Genomic DNA, 17121 nt, shown 5'->3' on the forward strand with positions numbered 1-17121 from the left:
CATTTTTACCATGTCGTCTCTCATACTTAAATATGGAAATTATCAACTTTTATCTTCACTATAATGTAAGAGAATAGTTCACGTTGTCATACAATTGCAAAGATGTATTTTTGTGCTGGCAATCATGAGAAGAAATGCCTTTCAACTAGTAAGCCAAGGGCACTAAAATGTTTCATGAAGATGCTCTTATTTGTAATCTCTAAGAGAAACAACTGTAAGGCCCAAAAATATAGAAATGATTAAAAATTCAAGAGACTATTCAATTTTTAAAATTATAAATGTGAAAACTATGACTATGACTATTTGTAGCATAACGAAATGTAAGTGGGAGAAAAGCAAAACACAATTGCAACAGCAAATATTTGTATTACATGGGCAAGGACAAAATAAAGGTAGAGGAAAAATAAGAATAACTGATTTGTTTTTATTTGTTTTTAATTTTTTTAAATTATACTTTAAGTTCTAGGATACATGTGCACAACGTGCAGATTTGTTACATATTGTATACATGTGCCATGTTGGTGTGCTGCACCCATTAACTCGTCATTTACATTAGGTATATTTCCTAATGCTTTCCCTCCCAGAATAACTGATTTGTTAAGCTTGGTAGGACAATGATTCTTTTTTGTTTCTGTCACGTTTCTTACAAAGTTACCTGTGCAAAAACATTTTAGAGTGTCTAACAATGCAACTTTTAAAAAAGATACGATTGCGCTTTGACATGAAAAGTACACTGCAAGCATAATTTGATAAAATAGTCCTACTTGATCAATGACTCACCGAATTGTTAATCTCACAGTAACATGAAATTAACACTGGATTCAATCAAATGAGGGGGCTTGGACTGGTGAAATATCAGGTCTTTCTAGTCCTGTGAGTCTAGGAGGATTCTCCTCTCTACTTTTCCTTTTTAATCTTAGGTCTACAATCGAATACAAGAATTATACATTTTTCACAAATAAAATTTTACAAAGAGATGTGAAAACTTTATTTTGTTTTTATTTAGTTTTCACCTAGTTGTTGAGTGGTAAAACACCAAATAAACTAATTTCCAAGGAGGAATTTCTTCTTAACATTTGCATGTCTAAATATCCAGAAATATTTTGTAGAGTGGTCTTTTTTGAAAAGATAACTCCTGGATCTCACATAAATCAACTCTTGTTTTAATACCTGTTTTCATCTAAATTTTAGCATTTCCATTACATCCTTTGTTGATAGCTCTGACATTAATAAACTGAATTTCTTATATGCCAAGGTACAAAGTAATCTCACCAAGTGTTTCGGAATGTCTTGTTTATTTCTCTGCTATTCTGTTTCCTTTGCAGGTAATATTCAGAAAATTTCTTTAAATTTTAAACATATAAACATCTTCTCTGCTCTTCTTCCAGGGAAGATTTGAGAAAGGGTAACTTTAGTTGGATTAGTCCAATAAACTGATATCTGCAGAATGTTTACTATTTGAGGGAAACTTGTTCCTGTAAATTTTCTTAAAAATATGAGTATATGGCATGTGCAATTTTATTGAAAATGGAAGACAATTCAAGTTTTCCACTATTTCTAGCTGGATTTCACCACCGGAAGCTGAGTTAAGTAGAGGGATGATAAACTAGCTATTTTGGTACTATTCTGAAAATATGTGATACAAAAGATATAATAATATGGCATACACCTTTTTAAATGTTACACCAAATAACTTTAACAGTGATGCAAAAAGTATGATTTTAAAAAATTTTCCAGCTGGGTATGGTGGCTCACGCCTGTAATCCCAGCACTTTGGGAGGCCAAGGAGGGTGCACCTGGAGGCCACTTGAGGCCGGAAGTTTGAGAACAGCCTGACCAATGCAGCGAAACCCCATGCCTACTAAAAATACAAAAATTAGCCAGGCGTGGTGGTGCACACCTGTAGTCCCAGCTACTTGGAAGGCTGAGGCACAAGAATCGATTGAACCTGGGAGGCAGAGGTTGCAGTGAGTCCAGATTGTGCCACTGCACTCCAGCCTAGGCGACAGAACGAGACTCCATCTAAAAAAAAAATTTCCAGCTTTTTGTATTAACAAACTATCCTTATGAATGTGGGTAACTGAGTTGTCTACAGTAGCTACTACCTTCAATTCTAGCATTCATCGATGTTCTTAAGAAAAAGAAAATTATTGCTTTTATTGTTGGAAGTTCAATAGAAAAGGGATTTGACAAAAGCTTTTAATAATAATAGTAACTGCAAAGAGAATTTACAAAATGCTTTTGGTGTGTGGGGCATTCTTGAATCTAAGCACTGAGAACACAAAGATAAATCATGTATAGTCCTTGCCCTGGAGAAACCTCAGAGTTTAGGTGAGATACAGTTATATCTGAGAGATGTCCTTAACATAAAATATACCAAAACAAACAAACAAAACAATGTGCTTTAGGGAGAAAACAAAAAGCAGACTATATGGAGAAAATTATCATTAATGTCCTCAGAGAAGATACCACAACCAAGAAACAAGAATAAGATGGTTTGAAAAAAAAAAAAGAGAGACTAAAAAAAGAGTTCTTGAAAATTAAAAATGTGATAGCAGAAACAAAAAATTAAACATAAGGATTAAACATAAGGCTTGTAAGATGTAGTGGAGGAAATCTGTCAAAAGGTAGGACAAAAAGACAAGAAGTGAAAAGTAAAAAGAAAAAATAAAACCATCAGAAGACCAGTTCAGGAAACCCCATGTCCTAAGAGGTGTTCCAGAAAAAAACAGAGAACAAAGAGAAAGGTCTTATTAATGAACTAATTCAATAATTTTTTTTTCAGAACTGAAAGACAGGAGTTTCCAGGTCAAAAAGGCCCACTGTTGTGATTTAACAAAAATAGGGAAAAAACTTCTAACAGATTCCAGAGGGGAATAAACTAGGTCACGTCCAAAGGATTAGAAACCCAAATAACTTCTCAACAGAAGCACTGAAAGATAAAAGACAGTGGAATAATGTCTTTAAAGTAGAATATGATACACAGCCACACTATCAATAAGGTGAGTAGGTAGAATTAAGATACTTTTCATAGTTTCAAAAAACTTCACCTTCCAATCATGCTTTCTTAGGAAACTACTGAAGGATGTGCTCTACAAAATGGAGGCAGGAAACCAAGAAGAAGGGAAGGAAAATAGAAAAATAGGAGATTCCACACAGAAGACAGGTCAAGGGAATCCCCTGAATGATGGTGTGGGAAACCCCTGGGAGGCAACCGCTCCAAGCCAAGAGGGCTACCAGATCACAACAGAACACGTAAGAAGGGCCAAGGAGAAATGTCTCTAAGAAGAGGAACTCTAGAGAGCACCTGATATGTTTGAAAGTCTTGAAAAAAGATTTCGGGAAGTGGCAGAGAGTTTGGATGCTAAAGTAATTAAGTACACAGAAAAAAAAGCAAAATAAAGAAAAATGAGGGAAAAAAGCAACAATCATTAACGCCAGGCAAAACAAAAAGTTTTGTATGACAAGAATTCATTGAACAATTCATAGCTCAATGTCAACAATGTTCGGTAGAGTCATATAAATAATGTCAACACTAAATATTGATCCAACCAAAATTACTATATTGGGAAAATAGGGAGCAGGTGGGAAGAATTTGGGGGTGAGGTGAGAATAAAGCAGAGAAAGAGAACAAAGAGAGCAAATAAAAACCAAGCATTACCAGCATGTTATTCAGAAATACGGTGGGAAATTCCAAAAGAATGAATTAAAACCACTAAAAGTGGTTGCCTCTGGGGAAAGAAATGAAGAGGGGGACTTTTTTTTTTTTTTTAAACACAGCCTTTATAAATTATATGACCACTTCACAATTTAAACTGTGTATACAGGTTAAGAAAAAAACAAAAACCCAGAGCCCAAGCTCTTACTAACTAAACCTATGTTTTTCAAAATATAAGTTTATGACTCATTAGTGGGTTGAGAAATAATTCGGTAAGACATAGCCATTATTTTTTTAATGAATTCTAACAGAAGGGGATAGAAAATAAAAGACATTGCATACAGTTAAGAGTATTTTTTCATAACCTTTGAAATATACATATCCACATAAACAGGTTCATAATGTAAAATGTATTTTTAACTGTTGACTGTCAACAAAATAATATAACCACTCTAAACTACAATGCATTATAATTACTTTTAGTTTTGTTTTTCTTTTTTCTTTTTTTTTTTTTTTTTGAGACAGAGTCTCGCTCTGTCGCCAGGCTGGAGTGCAGTGACATGATCTCGGCTCACTGCCACCTACGCCTCCCGGGTTCAAGCATTCCCCTGCCTCAGCCTCCCGAGTAGCTGGGACTATAGTCACACACCACCACGCCAGGCTAATTTTTTGTATTTTAGTAGATATGGGGTTTCACAATGTTGGCCAGGATGATATCGATCTCCTGACCTCGTGATCTGCCTGCCTCAGGCTCCCAAAGTGCTGGGATTACAGGTGTGAGTCACTGAGTCACTGTGTCCGGCCTTATTCTTTGCTTTCTTACAATTAACTCTGTAATATGGGCAGAGAGAAGAATAACAACACAGAAAAGAGAATTCAAAGTCCCACAGGTGATTTTATAATGTGGAGTATTACTGCTTCTTAGGTGACTTATCTTTCTAATTATGTATGACTTTCACTAATATTTAAATTTCTGGTCTACAGAGACACAGGAGCCAAGGAACCATCCTAGAAGCCTTCAGAATGGCGGAGGAAGCCAGCTTAGAAATAAAAACTTGCAATATTTACAGACTGAATAGCCCTTATCTAAAATGCTTGGGACCAGAAGTGTTTTGGATTTTGAATTTTTCTTGAATTTGGAATATATGCATTATATACTTACCAACTGAGCATTCTTTTTTTTTTTTGAGACAGAGTTTCACTCTTGTTGCTCAGGCTAGAGTGCAATGGCTCGATCTCAGCTCACCGCAACCTCGGCCTCCTGGGTTCAAGTGATTCTCCTGCCTCTGCCTCCTAAGTAGCTGGGATTATAGGTGTGCACCACCACACTCGGCTAACTTTTGTATTTTTTTAGTGGAGACAGGGTTTCACCATGTTGGCCAGGCTGGTCTCGAACTCCTGACCTCAGGTGATCTGCCTGCCTTGGCCTCCCAAAGTGCTGGGATTACAGATGTGAGCCACTGTGTCTGGCCCCCAGGATTTGGAGCATTTTAGATTTCAGATGTTCAGACAGGGATACCGCTGGTGAATAAACTAAAAAATACATACAAAGTTTAGTAAGAGGAAGCTTTCTTCAACTGACCCTCCCTCACACGATTTGCAAGGTGTATTGTTCATCCTGCCATATGGAAAAAATGAACAGGAAGCTAAAAACTTTCATGCTCTTCTACCGAGAGCCCATATTTAGCCCAACATTTTATTTTTACACAGTAGGTTAGATATGCACTTTATTTTGGAGTCTTACCTTACAATTCACTTACATAAAATAATTAAGAACAAAAACTTCTGTAGAAAGCAAGTTCCACTATATTCTTTTCACAGCACAGCATCACTTCCTAAAAGTCACGGGGATCAGACCCGTAAGCCAACCACCTATATTTTAAAAACCACCACTACCATTCACACTGAATGTAAAAAAGAATGAGTAAGTCTTAATATGCTGATATTGAAAGATACCAAAGGGGGCCAGGCGTGGTGGCTCACGCCTGTAATCCCAGCACTTTGGGAGGCCGAGGCAGGCGGATTACAAGGTCAGGAGTTTGAGACCAGCCTGGCCAACATAGTGAAACCCCGTCTCTACTAAAAATACACAAAAAAATTAGCTGGGCGTGGTGGTGGCCGCCTGTAATCCCAGCTACTCGGGAGGCTGAGGCAGGAGAATCGCTTGAACCCAGGAGGCGGAGGTTGCAGTGAGCCGAGATCACGCCACTGCACTCCAGCCCAGGTGACAGTGCGAGACTCCATCTCAAAAAAAAAAAAAAAAAGAAAGCTACCAAAGATATTTCTTAAAAAATATATAAATACTTATTTGTGTATATAGTTGTATTAAAAATGCACATATATATCTGGAAAAAAAGGCATGAGAACTAAATGACAGTGGCTACCCATTTTCCGAGAGGTGAAGAGATGGGCAAAGTAGGGATGACAGCAGGGGTGAAGAGGAAGACATTTCACTGTGTATGTCACCCTTTTTAGCAAGTTAGGGATTCTCATTCCATTGCTCCCTTCACCCCACTCCATCCCTTCACCCACACCCACCCCACCCCCAAAACTGTCTTGCTGCTGCTGCTTTTTTTTTTTTTTTTGAGATGCAGTCTCACTCCGTTGCCCAGGCGAGAGTGCAGTAGCACGATCTCAGCTCACGGCAACCTCCATCGCCAAGGCTCAGGCGATTCTCCTGCCTTAGGCTCCTAGGCAACTGGGATTATAGGTATGTACCACTCGGCTAATTTTTATATTTTTAGGAGAGACAGGGTTTCATCGTGTTGGCCAGGGTGGTCTCAAACTCCTGGCCTCAAGAGATCCGCCCACCCTAGCCTCCCAAAGTGCTGGGATTACAGGTGTGAGCTACCTCACCCAGCCCAGAACTACCTTGCTTCTGAATGGTACTCCACCCCCTCACCTCACACACATACAAGCACCCAGAAGCAATGTGTTGCAGGTATGCTTTCACTTTCATTGGCAAAGGACTCTCTCCTCGTCTTGCAAAAGTGAACCTATGCTCTCAGCATCCATAAGACCACACAAACACCACCTGTCTTGGCAAGTTGACAGGACCTTGGGTAGCATCCACAGCCCCTCCTCAATGCTCCCATCACATTTGCTAAGCCCTTGCTAAGTGCCAGTATGCAGGAGCATGAGGTACAAAGAGAAGTAGGATAAGGTACCTACCTGCCTTCAAGCAGTTCACAGCCTCCAGGGAGAGAAAGAGGAAACAGAGAATTTTGAAATTATGTGGTTCATGAAATGGCAAAAGTATACACCAGCGTAATTTACCACGTTGTATTTTAACTACTTTTTCCTCTCTCTCCTCCTTCTCTCCAAGGTGAGTGACTCTGGTGTAGGTACTGGATCCACAAGTATCTTTGAATCCCCTATGCTGAGCATGGTACTGAAATGATCTGAACTTCATAAATGTCTCCTGGAGAGCAATGCAATGGTATTTTAAGAAACAAATCCATGTGTCTTAATGTTTCAGAATGGTGATCAGTATACATATCAACTACTAACCTGGACCTATGCAATGTATTACAATACTAGAATTTCAGCAACAAAACAAACATCTTTAACCTCAGAGATCCTCTGATCTTTTAGTCCTAGCTACACAGTCTTGGCTTTGGTTTTGTAAAATGGGGAAACAATGAAAGCTGACCCCATCTGTTTTTTTTTTTTTTCCCTGGACGTCAATGCATTCTCACTTGTTTTTACTGGTAAGACTGAAAACTTTCACCCACTAACCTTCAATTTCTATCCATGGCTAATTCATTGGTAATTTCTTGCAACTTTCAGAAAAACAGTAATTCTCAATTTGACACAGGTTTGCCAATATGCATTTAAAGACCTCTTACACTTCAAACCTTGGACTTGCAGATATGAAAAATAATAACATTCTCAGTATTCTACTCTTCACCTTTGCCCTGCCCTGAGCACTATCTAAAAACCAATGACAGAAATGAATTGCAAACATAGCATGAAGCACTGCTGCAATTAATCAACCCAGAGCCCAAGGGAGGAATTGTTTCTATTTTTAAATGCACTGTTACTTTAAGGGAAAAGTCTGTGGAGAAATATGAAACCAAGCTGCATAATGAAAATAAAAATGCATTTGGTGTCTTCATCTGTGCAAAGACAGTAATCCTAATGTACAAGGAGCACTGTTTTGTTGACTACTCAGTTTGTCTGTAAATGAAATGACCGGTACTCAAGACAGAATCCCACAGAAAGCTCATCTGCTATTCAAAGAATTAGATCCGTCAGAAGGACAAAACACGAGAGTACCCATATTTCAATGCTATTTTTATAACTCCAGATAAGGGACTATCGTAAGTAAGCAGATGAATAGATCCCAAAATCACCCTTCAAATCTTTACCTAAAAGATCCTGATTAGTAACTAACGTGGTTCAGCCCGAAAAATGATCAACTGATTACTTAGCATTTGGAACCAACTGTCCACAGTTATAGATTGTACCAAATCCCACAAAATCAAATCTGTTTCTCTTCACAAATGACAACACTTCATGTCATTAAACAGTAGCTAACAGTCGCACTGCTTATGGTTAAGAGTGACAAGGAGCAGGTGCCAAGCCAGCAAGGAAAACAAGTAACGGCTACACAACAGGAGCTAAAAAGTATTCTACCTGTTCCCCCAGACTGCTTTCAAGAATCTGACCCAACAGAATTTTTTCCCGAAACAATATGCAGTTTGCGGGGGGGTGGGGGGAGGGGACATTCGTTGGTGATATGGGCATCTAATTTAATCTGTAAATATTTAATGTACTCAATGAGTTTACTTACTATCACCATGAAATATGCTATACTATCTACACTGCTATAAATGCATCTAAAAATACATCCATTACTAGACAACATTCAGTACAATGTACAATAAACACTACATTCAGTGTTAAACACAACATTTTACATATAGCTTAGCTATTTAATATCACCACCAGAATCTGCTAAAGGTAGCAGAATGTTTGCAAACTGGATAAAAACTGCTATGCTCAACACGAAAAGCAAAGAATCCCCAATCTTATCGCCTCATGATTTCTTTCCCCAAATTTGGCAAAACTGAGCTTGAACACCACACATTATAGAATGGAGGCATTGCTTCTCTAAGCAATAATGTCACAAACCCTGCTTCAGAGTCTCTCTTCAGTGAAAATCTCTGAAGAAGGAAATTCACTAAATTGTATTCCATCGATCAACAGGTGATTCGTGGAAACACAAACTCATATTCATTTCCAATGAAAATTAATATTGTAAACTCTCCCGTTTTTTCACATATATATATTTACAAGCTACTGCATTATTATATTGAATGAATTCCAACCGATTTCTTCTCAGAGGCTTACTAGAAAAATGCCAAATATTCAAATTATTTTGGGGCGTTAACCCATACTGTTGCATGGAACAGAACGGAATTAATAAGGATCCAACAGTTACCACTTTTCAAATGCAAATATGTTGCCATCTAGTAAATACAGCCCCTTTTTAAACATCCCTCAGTGTCTATACAGTTCAGGGCCCTACTTTTGTTTCTTTGAAAATCAAAATTCGCGCATTACATTGAGGCATTATCTCAACTCAGCAACAACAACTAAAATAGATACTAACTAGTCCAGCCTGAGTCTACATCGTACAAGACTTTTGCTTTATTTTTTCCTCCCATTTTAGACACACTGTCCCTAAACAATTCTGCCAAAGGAAACAAACCCTGCAGTGATGAAAAGAATCACGGACACTGGGTTCCACGAACAATAAGGTCGTGGGCTGGTCACCTGCCCGCCTCGGGCCTCAGTTTTCCTGTCTGTAAAATGTGGCCGCTGGACGAATCACCTATGGGGTCCCATCCGGCCCTCTCCCTCCCGGGTGCCTCGCAGCCCGCCCGGGCTCAGCTGACTGGTGCTGTGGCCAGGGTGCCCTGCCTGCCGCCGCTCTAGATGGAGGAGAAGGGGGGCGAGGGAGGAGAGGAACTTGGACTTGCAACAGCTTCAAACAGGAGCCGGCGACAAACTTGAAGCCGTCCTCCTAACAATAGGAAAGAGCACTCCCATTTTCCTGGCTCAAACTTGCGGGACCCCGCGAGGCTGGATCCTCCCAGCCGCCCTCTCGGAACCCGCTTTACCTTTCTCCCTGTTTGGTGTTAGAAGGAGGAGGGTGCAGGACCGTTTGATTCCCTTCCATCTCCACCACGCACTTGGTGTTCAGTTCCAGTTCTGAAAGCAGAGAGAAAGGGACGTTGCAAAGTCCAGCATCCGCGCCTCCAGCCCGCCCGCCCGCCAGCCGCGCCGAGCGGGGCTCCGTCCCTGGAGGCGGCCGAGCCTGGAGACGGCGCCCCGGGCACCACGGCCAGCGCGGACGCCGCCTCCGCCCCGGCCCCCCGGCCCCGGCCGCGCTCTCGCCGTCCCGGCCCCGCAGTTTCTAAAGTTGCCCCCGCCCTCAGCCCGAGCAGAAATAAAAAAGAGCGGAAAGCTCCTCACCTCGTCGGTTCATGGGCCGGACCCGGACGGCAACTTTTACCTTGGTATCCGACATGTTGGCTGCGCTCGCCCGGCCGCTCGCCGCGCCCGCTCGGCCTTAGGCGGCCCCTCACGCGCGGCGCCGCCGCCGCTGCAGCCGCGCGCCCCTCGAGCGCGGCCGCCGCCGCTCCGCCGTGAGCTCCGAGAGGCAGCGCCGAGGCGCGCGGGCCATCCCGGGGGAGCGCGACGCGGGGCACGGCCGCGGCCCGGGGAGGGGCGGGCGCGCGGGGCGGGGCGCGGCGGCGGCGGCGGCGGCGGCGGGCGGGGAGGAGGCCTCGCCGGCGGGCCCAGGCGCAGCTCTAGCCGCGCCGCCCCAGCCGAGACCGCAGCGCCGCGGCCCCTCGCGGCTGCCCGGGGCCCCGCGCCGCCATGTTCCGCGCCCGTCACCCGCCGGGGCTCGGGAGAGGCCGGACACGGCCACGCGCGGCGCCCCCTGGAGCGGCGGGACGGCAGTGAGAGGAGCGGCGAGCAGCGCGGCGCTTAGGGGAGGCTGGAGTCCGGGGCGGGACGCATTGTTTCCCCAGGGGACCTCCCAGGCCAAGCCTGCACCGGCGCCCGCGGGGCCCCCCCCCGGACACCGCCGTGAGCTCGAGCCGCCTTCTGGGGCCGCTGCCACCCGGAGCCCCGGGACGGCAGCAAGGACCACGGCTCGCCGCGCTGGGTGCGCAGGCCTTCCCCTCCGAGTCCCGGCACGCCGCCCCCTCTGTCCCACACGGAGCCTGCAGCGGTATTTTAAGATCTCTGTGGTGAACCGAGACTAGAAATGAATCTGTGAATCCACCACCGAAACAGTGTATGTTTGTAAATAGTGCTCTCCCTTCCTTTCCCGGCCTCTCTTGTCTCGGGAGGGATGTCAAGTGGGCTGGGAGGGCCATTAACTCTTACATAAGAATTTAATAGCAATGGATTCTGTCATCCTGCCAAATGCAGACCTCGCTGCCAGGGCGGAACTGGGCGAATCCGATTTATTCTGTTTGGTTCAACAAGTGCTTAAGGGGCGCTCACCGAGTGCCAGGCATTTTGAAGCGTACAGAAGTCAAAAATCCAGAGTTTAGATCCAGGAATCTTTCGATTTTGCTTAAATCTAGAAATCCACTTATTGGAAGATGCATTGAGGTTTTACTGTGTGCAGGGTGCTGTTGAGGACACACAGAAACATGAATAGCATGATGCAGAGGCACACGCTAAGGTGGAAGAGAGGGCGTGGAGACTTATTATGCTAGACAGTGTACGGCAGGTGCTAGGAGAGGGGTCCGTCCGCCTCCAACCGAGGTGATGCTACGCTTGACCCTCGAACAACACGGGTTTGAACTGCACGAGTCCACTTACACGTGGCTTTTTTTCAACCAAAATCTGATTGAAAATACAGTATTCGTGCTCTGGCACAGTGCCTTACGCCTGTAATCCCAACACTTTGGGAGGCCGAGGCGGGAGGATCACTTGAGGCCAGGAGTTCGAGACCAGCCTGGGCAATGTAAAGAAACCCCATCTTGCCAAACATAAAAATTTAAAAAATAGCCGGGCATGGTGGCAGGTGCCTGTAGTCTTAGTTACTGGAGAGGCTGAGGTGGGAGGATCACTTGAGCCTGGAAGGTTGAGGCTGCAGTGAGCCATGTTCGCACCACTGCACTCCAGCCTAGGCAACAAAGCAAGACCCTGTCTCAAAAAAAAAAAGGGAGAAAAAAGAAAAGACAGTATTTGGCAGGTTCAAAACTGAGAGATCCAACTTTTCCTATTTGTGGGTTCTGCAGAGCTGACTGTGGGACTTGAGTATGCATGGTTTTGGATGTTCCTGGAACCAGTCCCCTGTGTACACTGAAGGACAAATACTTCAGCCCCACCTTATTGTAGAGCCAGCTATCTCAGTCTACCTCTGAAGGGCCTGTTGCATCTTTCCTCCTCTCCATTCCTGCTGCTGCAATCTCACTTTACCTGTCCATTCACTTGTTCAACAAATGTGTTCTGAGCGCCCTACTATGTTACAAACACTGTTGTAGGCTTTAGGCTACAGGCTCTCAGCTGCTGCTCAGAAAGAGGTGAAATTTCCAGCCCTCTGAGGCTAAGAATCTAGGTCTGTGCTTACCTCTTCACTTTTGGGCTGCTGAGACATCCTGTTAACCCTCCTAGCTTTGCCTCCTCTAATCACTCCTAAATCCAGCTTCCAGACTGATTTTTCACAAAATTAAAATTTTATCCTTTAATCGTGCATGGTATTCTATTGTTCAAAAAACTCTCAGGCTGGGCACGGTGGCTCACGCCTGTAATCCCAGCACTTTGGGAGGCCGAGGCTGGCAGATCACCTGAGGTCGGGAGTCCGAGACCAGCCTGACCAACATGGAGAAACCCCGTCTCCACTAAAAATACAAAATTAGCCAGGCGTGATGGCACATGCCTGTAATCCCAGCTACTTGGGAGGCTGAGGCAGGAGAATCGCTTGAACCTGGGAGGCGGAGGTTGCGGTGAGCCAAGATCGCACCGTTGCACTACAGCCTGGGCAACAAGAGCCAAACTCCACCTCAAAAACAAGCAAACAAACAAAAAACCTCTCTGTTTAATATTACCTCCCACCATTCCTGAAATTCTTTATCCAGGACCTTTTCACAAGCAAGATACCATCCCTATGCTAAGCCATTGCTCTGGTAGTTTCTATCAGTGGGAATTGTAGAGGGTTGAATTTGTAACTCCCAAAAAGGTATGTACAAGCCATAACCTCCAGTACCTGTGAATGTGACCTTATTTGGAAACAGGGTCTTGGCAGAAATAAAATTAGGATGAGGCCATACTGGGTTAGGATGGTCCCTAAATCTAATGACTAGTGTCTTTTTTTTTTTTTTTTTTTTTGAGACAGAGTCTCGCTCTGTTGCCCAGGCTGGAGTGCAGTGGCACGATCTCAACTTACTGCAACCTCCACTTCCAGGTTCAAGCGATTCTCCTGCCTCAGCCTCCCAAGTAGCTGGGACTACAGGCATGTGCCGTCATGCCCAGCTAATGTTTGTATTTTTAGTAGAGATGGGGTTTTGCTGTGTTGCCCAGGCTGCTCTCGAACTTCTGACCTCAGGTGATCTGCCCACCTCGGCCTCCCAAAGTGTTGGGATTACAGGTGTGAGCCACCGCACCTGGCCTGACTAGTGTCTTTATTAGAGAAAGGAGAGGGGGATTTGGATACACAGGGAGGAAGACCATGTGAAGACAGAGGCAGAGATTGGAGTGATGCAGCCACAAGCCAAGGAACACCGAGGTTTGCCAGGAGCCACCAGAAGCTAGGAGGAGGAAAGGAAGCCTCCGGAGGAAACACGGCTCTGCTGACACCTTGATTTGGGACTTCTAGCCACCAGAACTCTGAGACACTAAATTTCTGTTGTCTTATGCCACCCATTTCATGGTCATTTGTTACAGTAGTCTTAAGAAACTAATACAGAGGCCAGGCGCAGTGGCTTATGCCTGAAATCTCAGCACTTTGGGAGGCAAAGGTGGGAGGATCACTTGAGCCCAGGAGTTTGAGACCAGCCTGGGCAACATAGGGAGACTCTGTCTCTACAAAAAATAAAAAATTAGCCAGGCGTGATGGCGTGTGCCTGTGATCCCAGCTACTTGGGAGGCTGAAGCAGGGGGGATTGCTAGAAAGCCTAGGTCAAGGCTGCAGTGAGCCATGATTGTACCACTGCACTCCAGCCTGGGCAACAGGGTGAGACTCAGTCTCAAAAAAATAAAGAAAGAGAGGAAGGATGAAAGAAAAGGAAGGAAGGAAGAAAGGAAGGGAGGATATACAAAATTTAATCAATCCCTTCTCTGTCTCATTTTCTCCTTCTCCCTCATTCTCTGCCAGATCATGAAAGCCTTGAGTGCCTAAGAAATTTCATGTTTATTGTAAAGGCAATAGGAACTGAATGAAGCATTTGGATTTGGAGCCAGGGATTGACATATTCAGAGCATTGATTCAGGGTAATTAATTTGGCAACACTGTATCCATCCAGAGGACTATTGTAGTCATCCAGATGAGGTGATGATATCATCATCCAGAGGTGATGATAGCATGAACAAAGCCAATGATAGCACAAATGGAGCAGAAGGAACAGACGCAGAACTTACTGCGAGAAAAGTGGAACAATTTAGCAACCAATGGGATGTGAAGATTGAGGGAGGCAAAGGATTGCAAGTGACTGAGAAAGGGATTGGGAGGATGATGGCCCATAACACCACGAATAGTTGAGAAGAAGAATAGGTCTTAAGGTGAGAGGGGCATGATTCATTTGGTGTTACAGGTTAGAAAAACAGTTCCCATTGGTTCTTTGCAGAGTGACTCTTCTTTCTGCTTTCCTGACCCTTTCCAACTTTAAAGACCAGATTAGTCCTCACCTCTTCTATGAAGAGTTTACTAGTCTGGGCATGGTGGCTCATACCTATAATCCCAGCATTTTGGGAGACTGAGGTGGGCGGATCACTTGAGTCCAGGAGTTCAAGACCAGCCTGGCCAACCCAGTGAATCTCTGTCTCTACTAAAAATACAAAAAAATTATCTGGGCATGGTGGCACATGCCTGTAATCCCAGCTACTTGGGAAGCTGAGGCATAAGAATTGTTTGAACCGGGGAGAAAAGAGGTTGCAGTGAGTCAAGATCATGCCACTGTACTCCAGCCTGGGTGACAGAGTAAGACTCTGTCTCAAAAATAAATAAATAAATAAATAAATAAAAGTTTACTAAACATTTCTTTTTCAAAACAGTTTAGCCTTACATCATTAGGAATTATGTCTTTTTAGCGTTTGAAGGGCCTTTGGGAGTCCTGTGGACCTTTTTACAACAGCCCCCAAAACGGCCACCCATTCCGTGCTTGGATTCCGCTGACAGAGTTCTCAAATTGGAAGAGAAGCTGAACTCAGTCAGGGGACTCCTCAAGTTCTTCGCCTAGGAAAGGCCTCCATGAAGAATCAGATTTGCATCCCTGGGCATTCCACCTAGTGACAGAAGTGCTGCCTTCTCCTGCTTCCCATGCCAAATCTAACTCCCTTTTTTTTTTTTTTTTTTTTTTTTTTTGAGATGGGGTCTTGGCTGTATCACCCAGGCTGGAGTGCAGTGGCGCAACCTCGGCTCACTGCAACCTCCGCCTCCCAGGTTCAAGTGATTCTCCTGCCTCAGCCTCCCGAGTAGCTGGGATTACAGGCACACACCACCACACATGGTTAATTTTTTGTATTTTTAGTAGAGAAGGGGTTTCGCCATGTTGGCCACGCTGGTCTCAGACTCCTGACCTCAAGTGATCTACCTGCCTCAGCCTCCCAAAGCGCTGGGATTACAGGCATGAGCCACCATGCCCAGCCTCCAAATCTAACTCCTGCTATACCTGAAGCCCCTCAGATACTTGAGGCTGGCTTTCATGTCCTTCTGAAGACTTCCATTCCCCTAGAACATGCTGTTCTGGTTACTGTTGTAGTAAATCCCACCAAAATTTAGTGTCTTAAAACAACAACAATCTGGTGGTGTGTGCCTGTAGTCCCAGCTACTCAGGAGGGATGCAAGGACTTTTCTATCATGACAACAGGAGAGTTTGGGATGCTGGACAGTATCCCATTCTGGAGTCAGCGAGGAGAAGAAGCTCAGAGTGTGGGCCCACTGCATACAGGTAAAGGCCCATCAGAGAGCTGGCCCAGCCTGGCTAGAGGCCCTGGACTGGGGCTGAGGTATGGAAAGACCGGTGAGGCTTGCTTGACAGAACACTCTGGCCCAGCCATCAGCCAGCCTTACAATGCCCACAGATCACCATATGCCAACGAATACAGCCATGCGTACTAGTCACTAAGAGGGCCCTGGTCTATGCTCCTTTGTCAGGAAGAGCTTGTTAGCATAGCTTTACTTTAGAAACTGGAAACACCATGGGTTCTGAGGAACTGGCAGACAACTGATAGATAACAAACATCCCAAGGACTCTGGAATCATCCCATTTCAGATGTAAGACTAAGTTCCAAAGTTATTTCAGTCAGAAGTAGCAGATCAGGCTGCCAGGCTGATCTAAAAATTGCTAATGTCTTAAGTCTGCAGAGAATCAAAGAATAATCATAGAACAGTCAAATACTTTTAAATAAGAGGCTTTCTATAAACTAGTTTAACAACCATGAGTCAGCCTAGGCTAAGTTATGACATGGTGACCAACAACGCTTGAATCTCAGTGGCTTACAAAAAGCTTTATGCCCTACACGCATGACTTGTCCATCACAGCCTGCTTGTGGTTTTGCTTCTATCATTTTCTTTCTGAGTCCTAGGCTGACGAAACAGCCCCTAGCTGAGTCAACGCTGGTTTTGTAACAGAAGGAAAGGAGAAGGTGGCAGACCACACAATAGCTCCTCAAGTTTTGCTCAGAAATGGTACACATTGGCTGGGCACGGTGGCTCACGCCTGTAATCCCAGCACTTTGGGAGGCCGAGGCGGACAGATCACGAGGTCAGGAGTTTAGACCAACCTGGCTAACATGGAGAAACCTCGTCTCTACTAAAAATACAAAAAATTAGCCAAGCGTGGTGGCAGCGCCTGTAATCCCAGTATTTGGGAGGCTGAGGCAGGACAATCGCTTGAACCCAGGAGGTGGGTGTTGCAGCAAGCCAAGCCCATGCCACTGCATTCCAGCTTGGACAACAGAGCAGGACTCTGTCTCAAAAAAAAGAGAAAAAGAAAAAAGAAAAAGAAAGGAATGGTACCCATCCCTTCTCAATTTTCATTGGACAAAGGAAGTCACACGGTCAAGCCAAGCATCAATGGAAAAGGGAAAAAGAATTCTCCCCCAGGGAGGGACTCCAAACCATTTATTACAAGAACATTTATATTTCACAACAGTTAACAGTAGATAACATTTATTAAACACTGACTACTTACCAAGCATAGTTTCATTATTTAATCCTCTCAATAACCCTATGAGGCACAAACTATTATTGTCATCCTTCATTATAACTA

General features: G+C 44.2%; 1 protein-coding gene across 5 annotated transcripts in view, besides 3 other annotated features; it reads right to left on the minus strand.

The window, feature by feature from the left end:
- KIF13A (kinesin family member 13A) overlaps positions 1–10368 on the minus strand; it is a 228510-nt gene extending 218142 nt beyond the window's left edge. For all 5 annotated transcript variants that reach the window (NM_001105568.4, NM_001105567.3, NM_001105566.3 and 2 more), the window contains exons 1-2: positions 10142–10368; positions 9787–9877 (exon numbers count right to left, since the gene is read on the minus strand). In NM_001105568.4, the coding sequence (NP_001099038.1) occupies positions 9787–9877; positions 10142–10196 (146 nt within the window). In that variant the 5' untranslated portion in view covers positions 10197–10368. The remainder of the gene's footprint in view (positions 1–9786; positions 9878–10141) is intronic.
- Positions 9954–10073: a silencer, noted in NCBI's record as "silent region_16967". NCBI's record gives its function as "represses an Ori minimal core promoter by ATAC-STARR-seq in GM12878 lymphoblastoid cells {active_cell/tissue: GM12878}" and the evidence as "EXISTENCE:reporter gene assay evidence [ECO:0000049][PMID:35858748]".
- Positions 10444–10943: a silencer, noted in NCBI's record as "silent region_16968". NCBI's record gives its function as "represses an Ori minimal core promoter by ATAC-STARR-seq in GM12878 lymphoblastoid cells {active_cell/tissue: GM12878}" and the evidence as "EXISTENCE:reporter gene assay evidence [ECO:0000049][PMID:35858748]".
- Positions 16269–16318: an enhancer, noted in NCBI's record as "active region_24116". NCBI's record gives its function as "activates an Ori minimal core promoter by ATAC-STARR-seq in GM12878 lymphoblastoid cells {active_cell/tissue: GM12878}" and the evidence as "EXISTENCE:reporter gene assay evidence [ECO:0000049][PMID:35858748]".

This window comes from Homo sapiens, chromosome 6, assembly GCF_000001405.40.
Source record: "Homo sapiens chromosome 6, GRCh38.p14 Primary Assembly".
Lineage (NCBI taxonomy): Eukaryota > Metazoa > Chordata > Mammalia > Primates > Hominidae > Homo > Homo sapiens.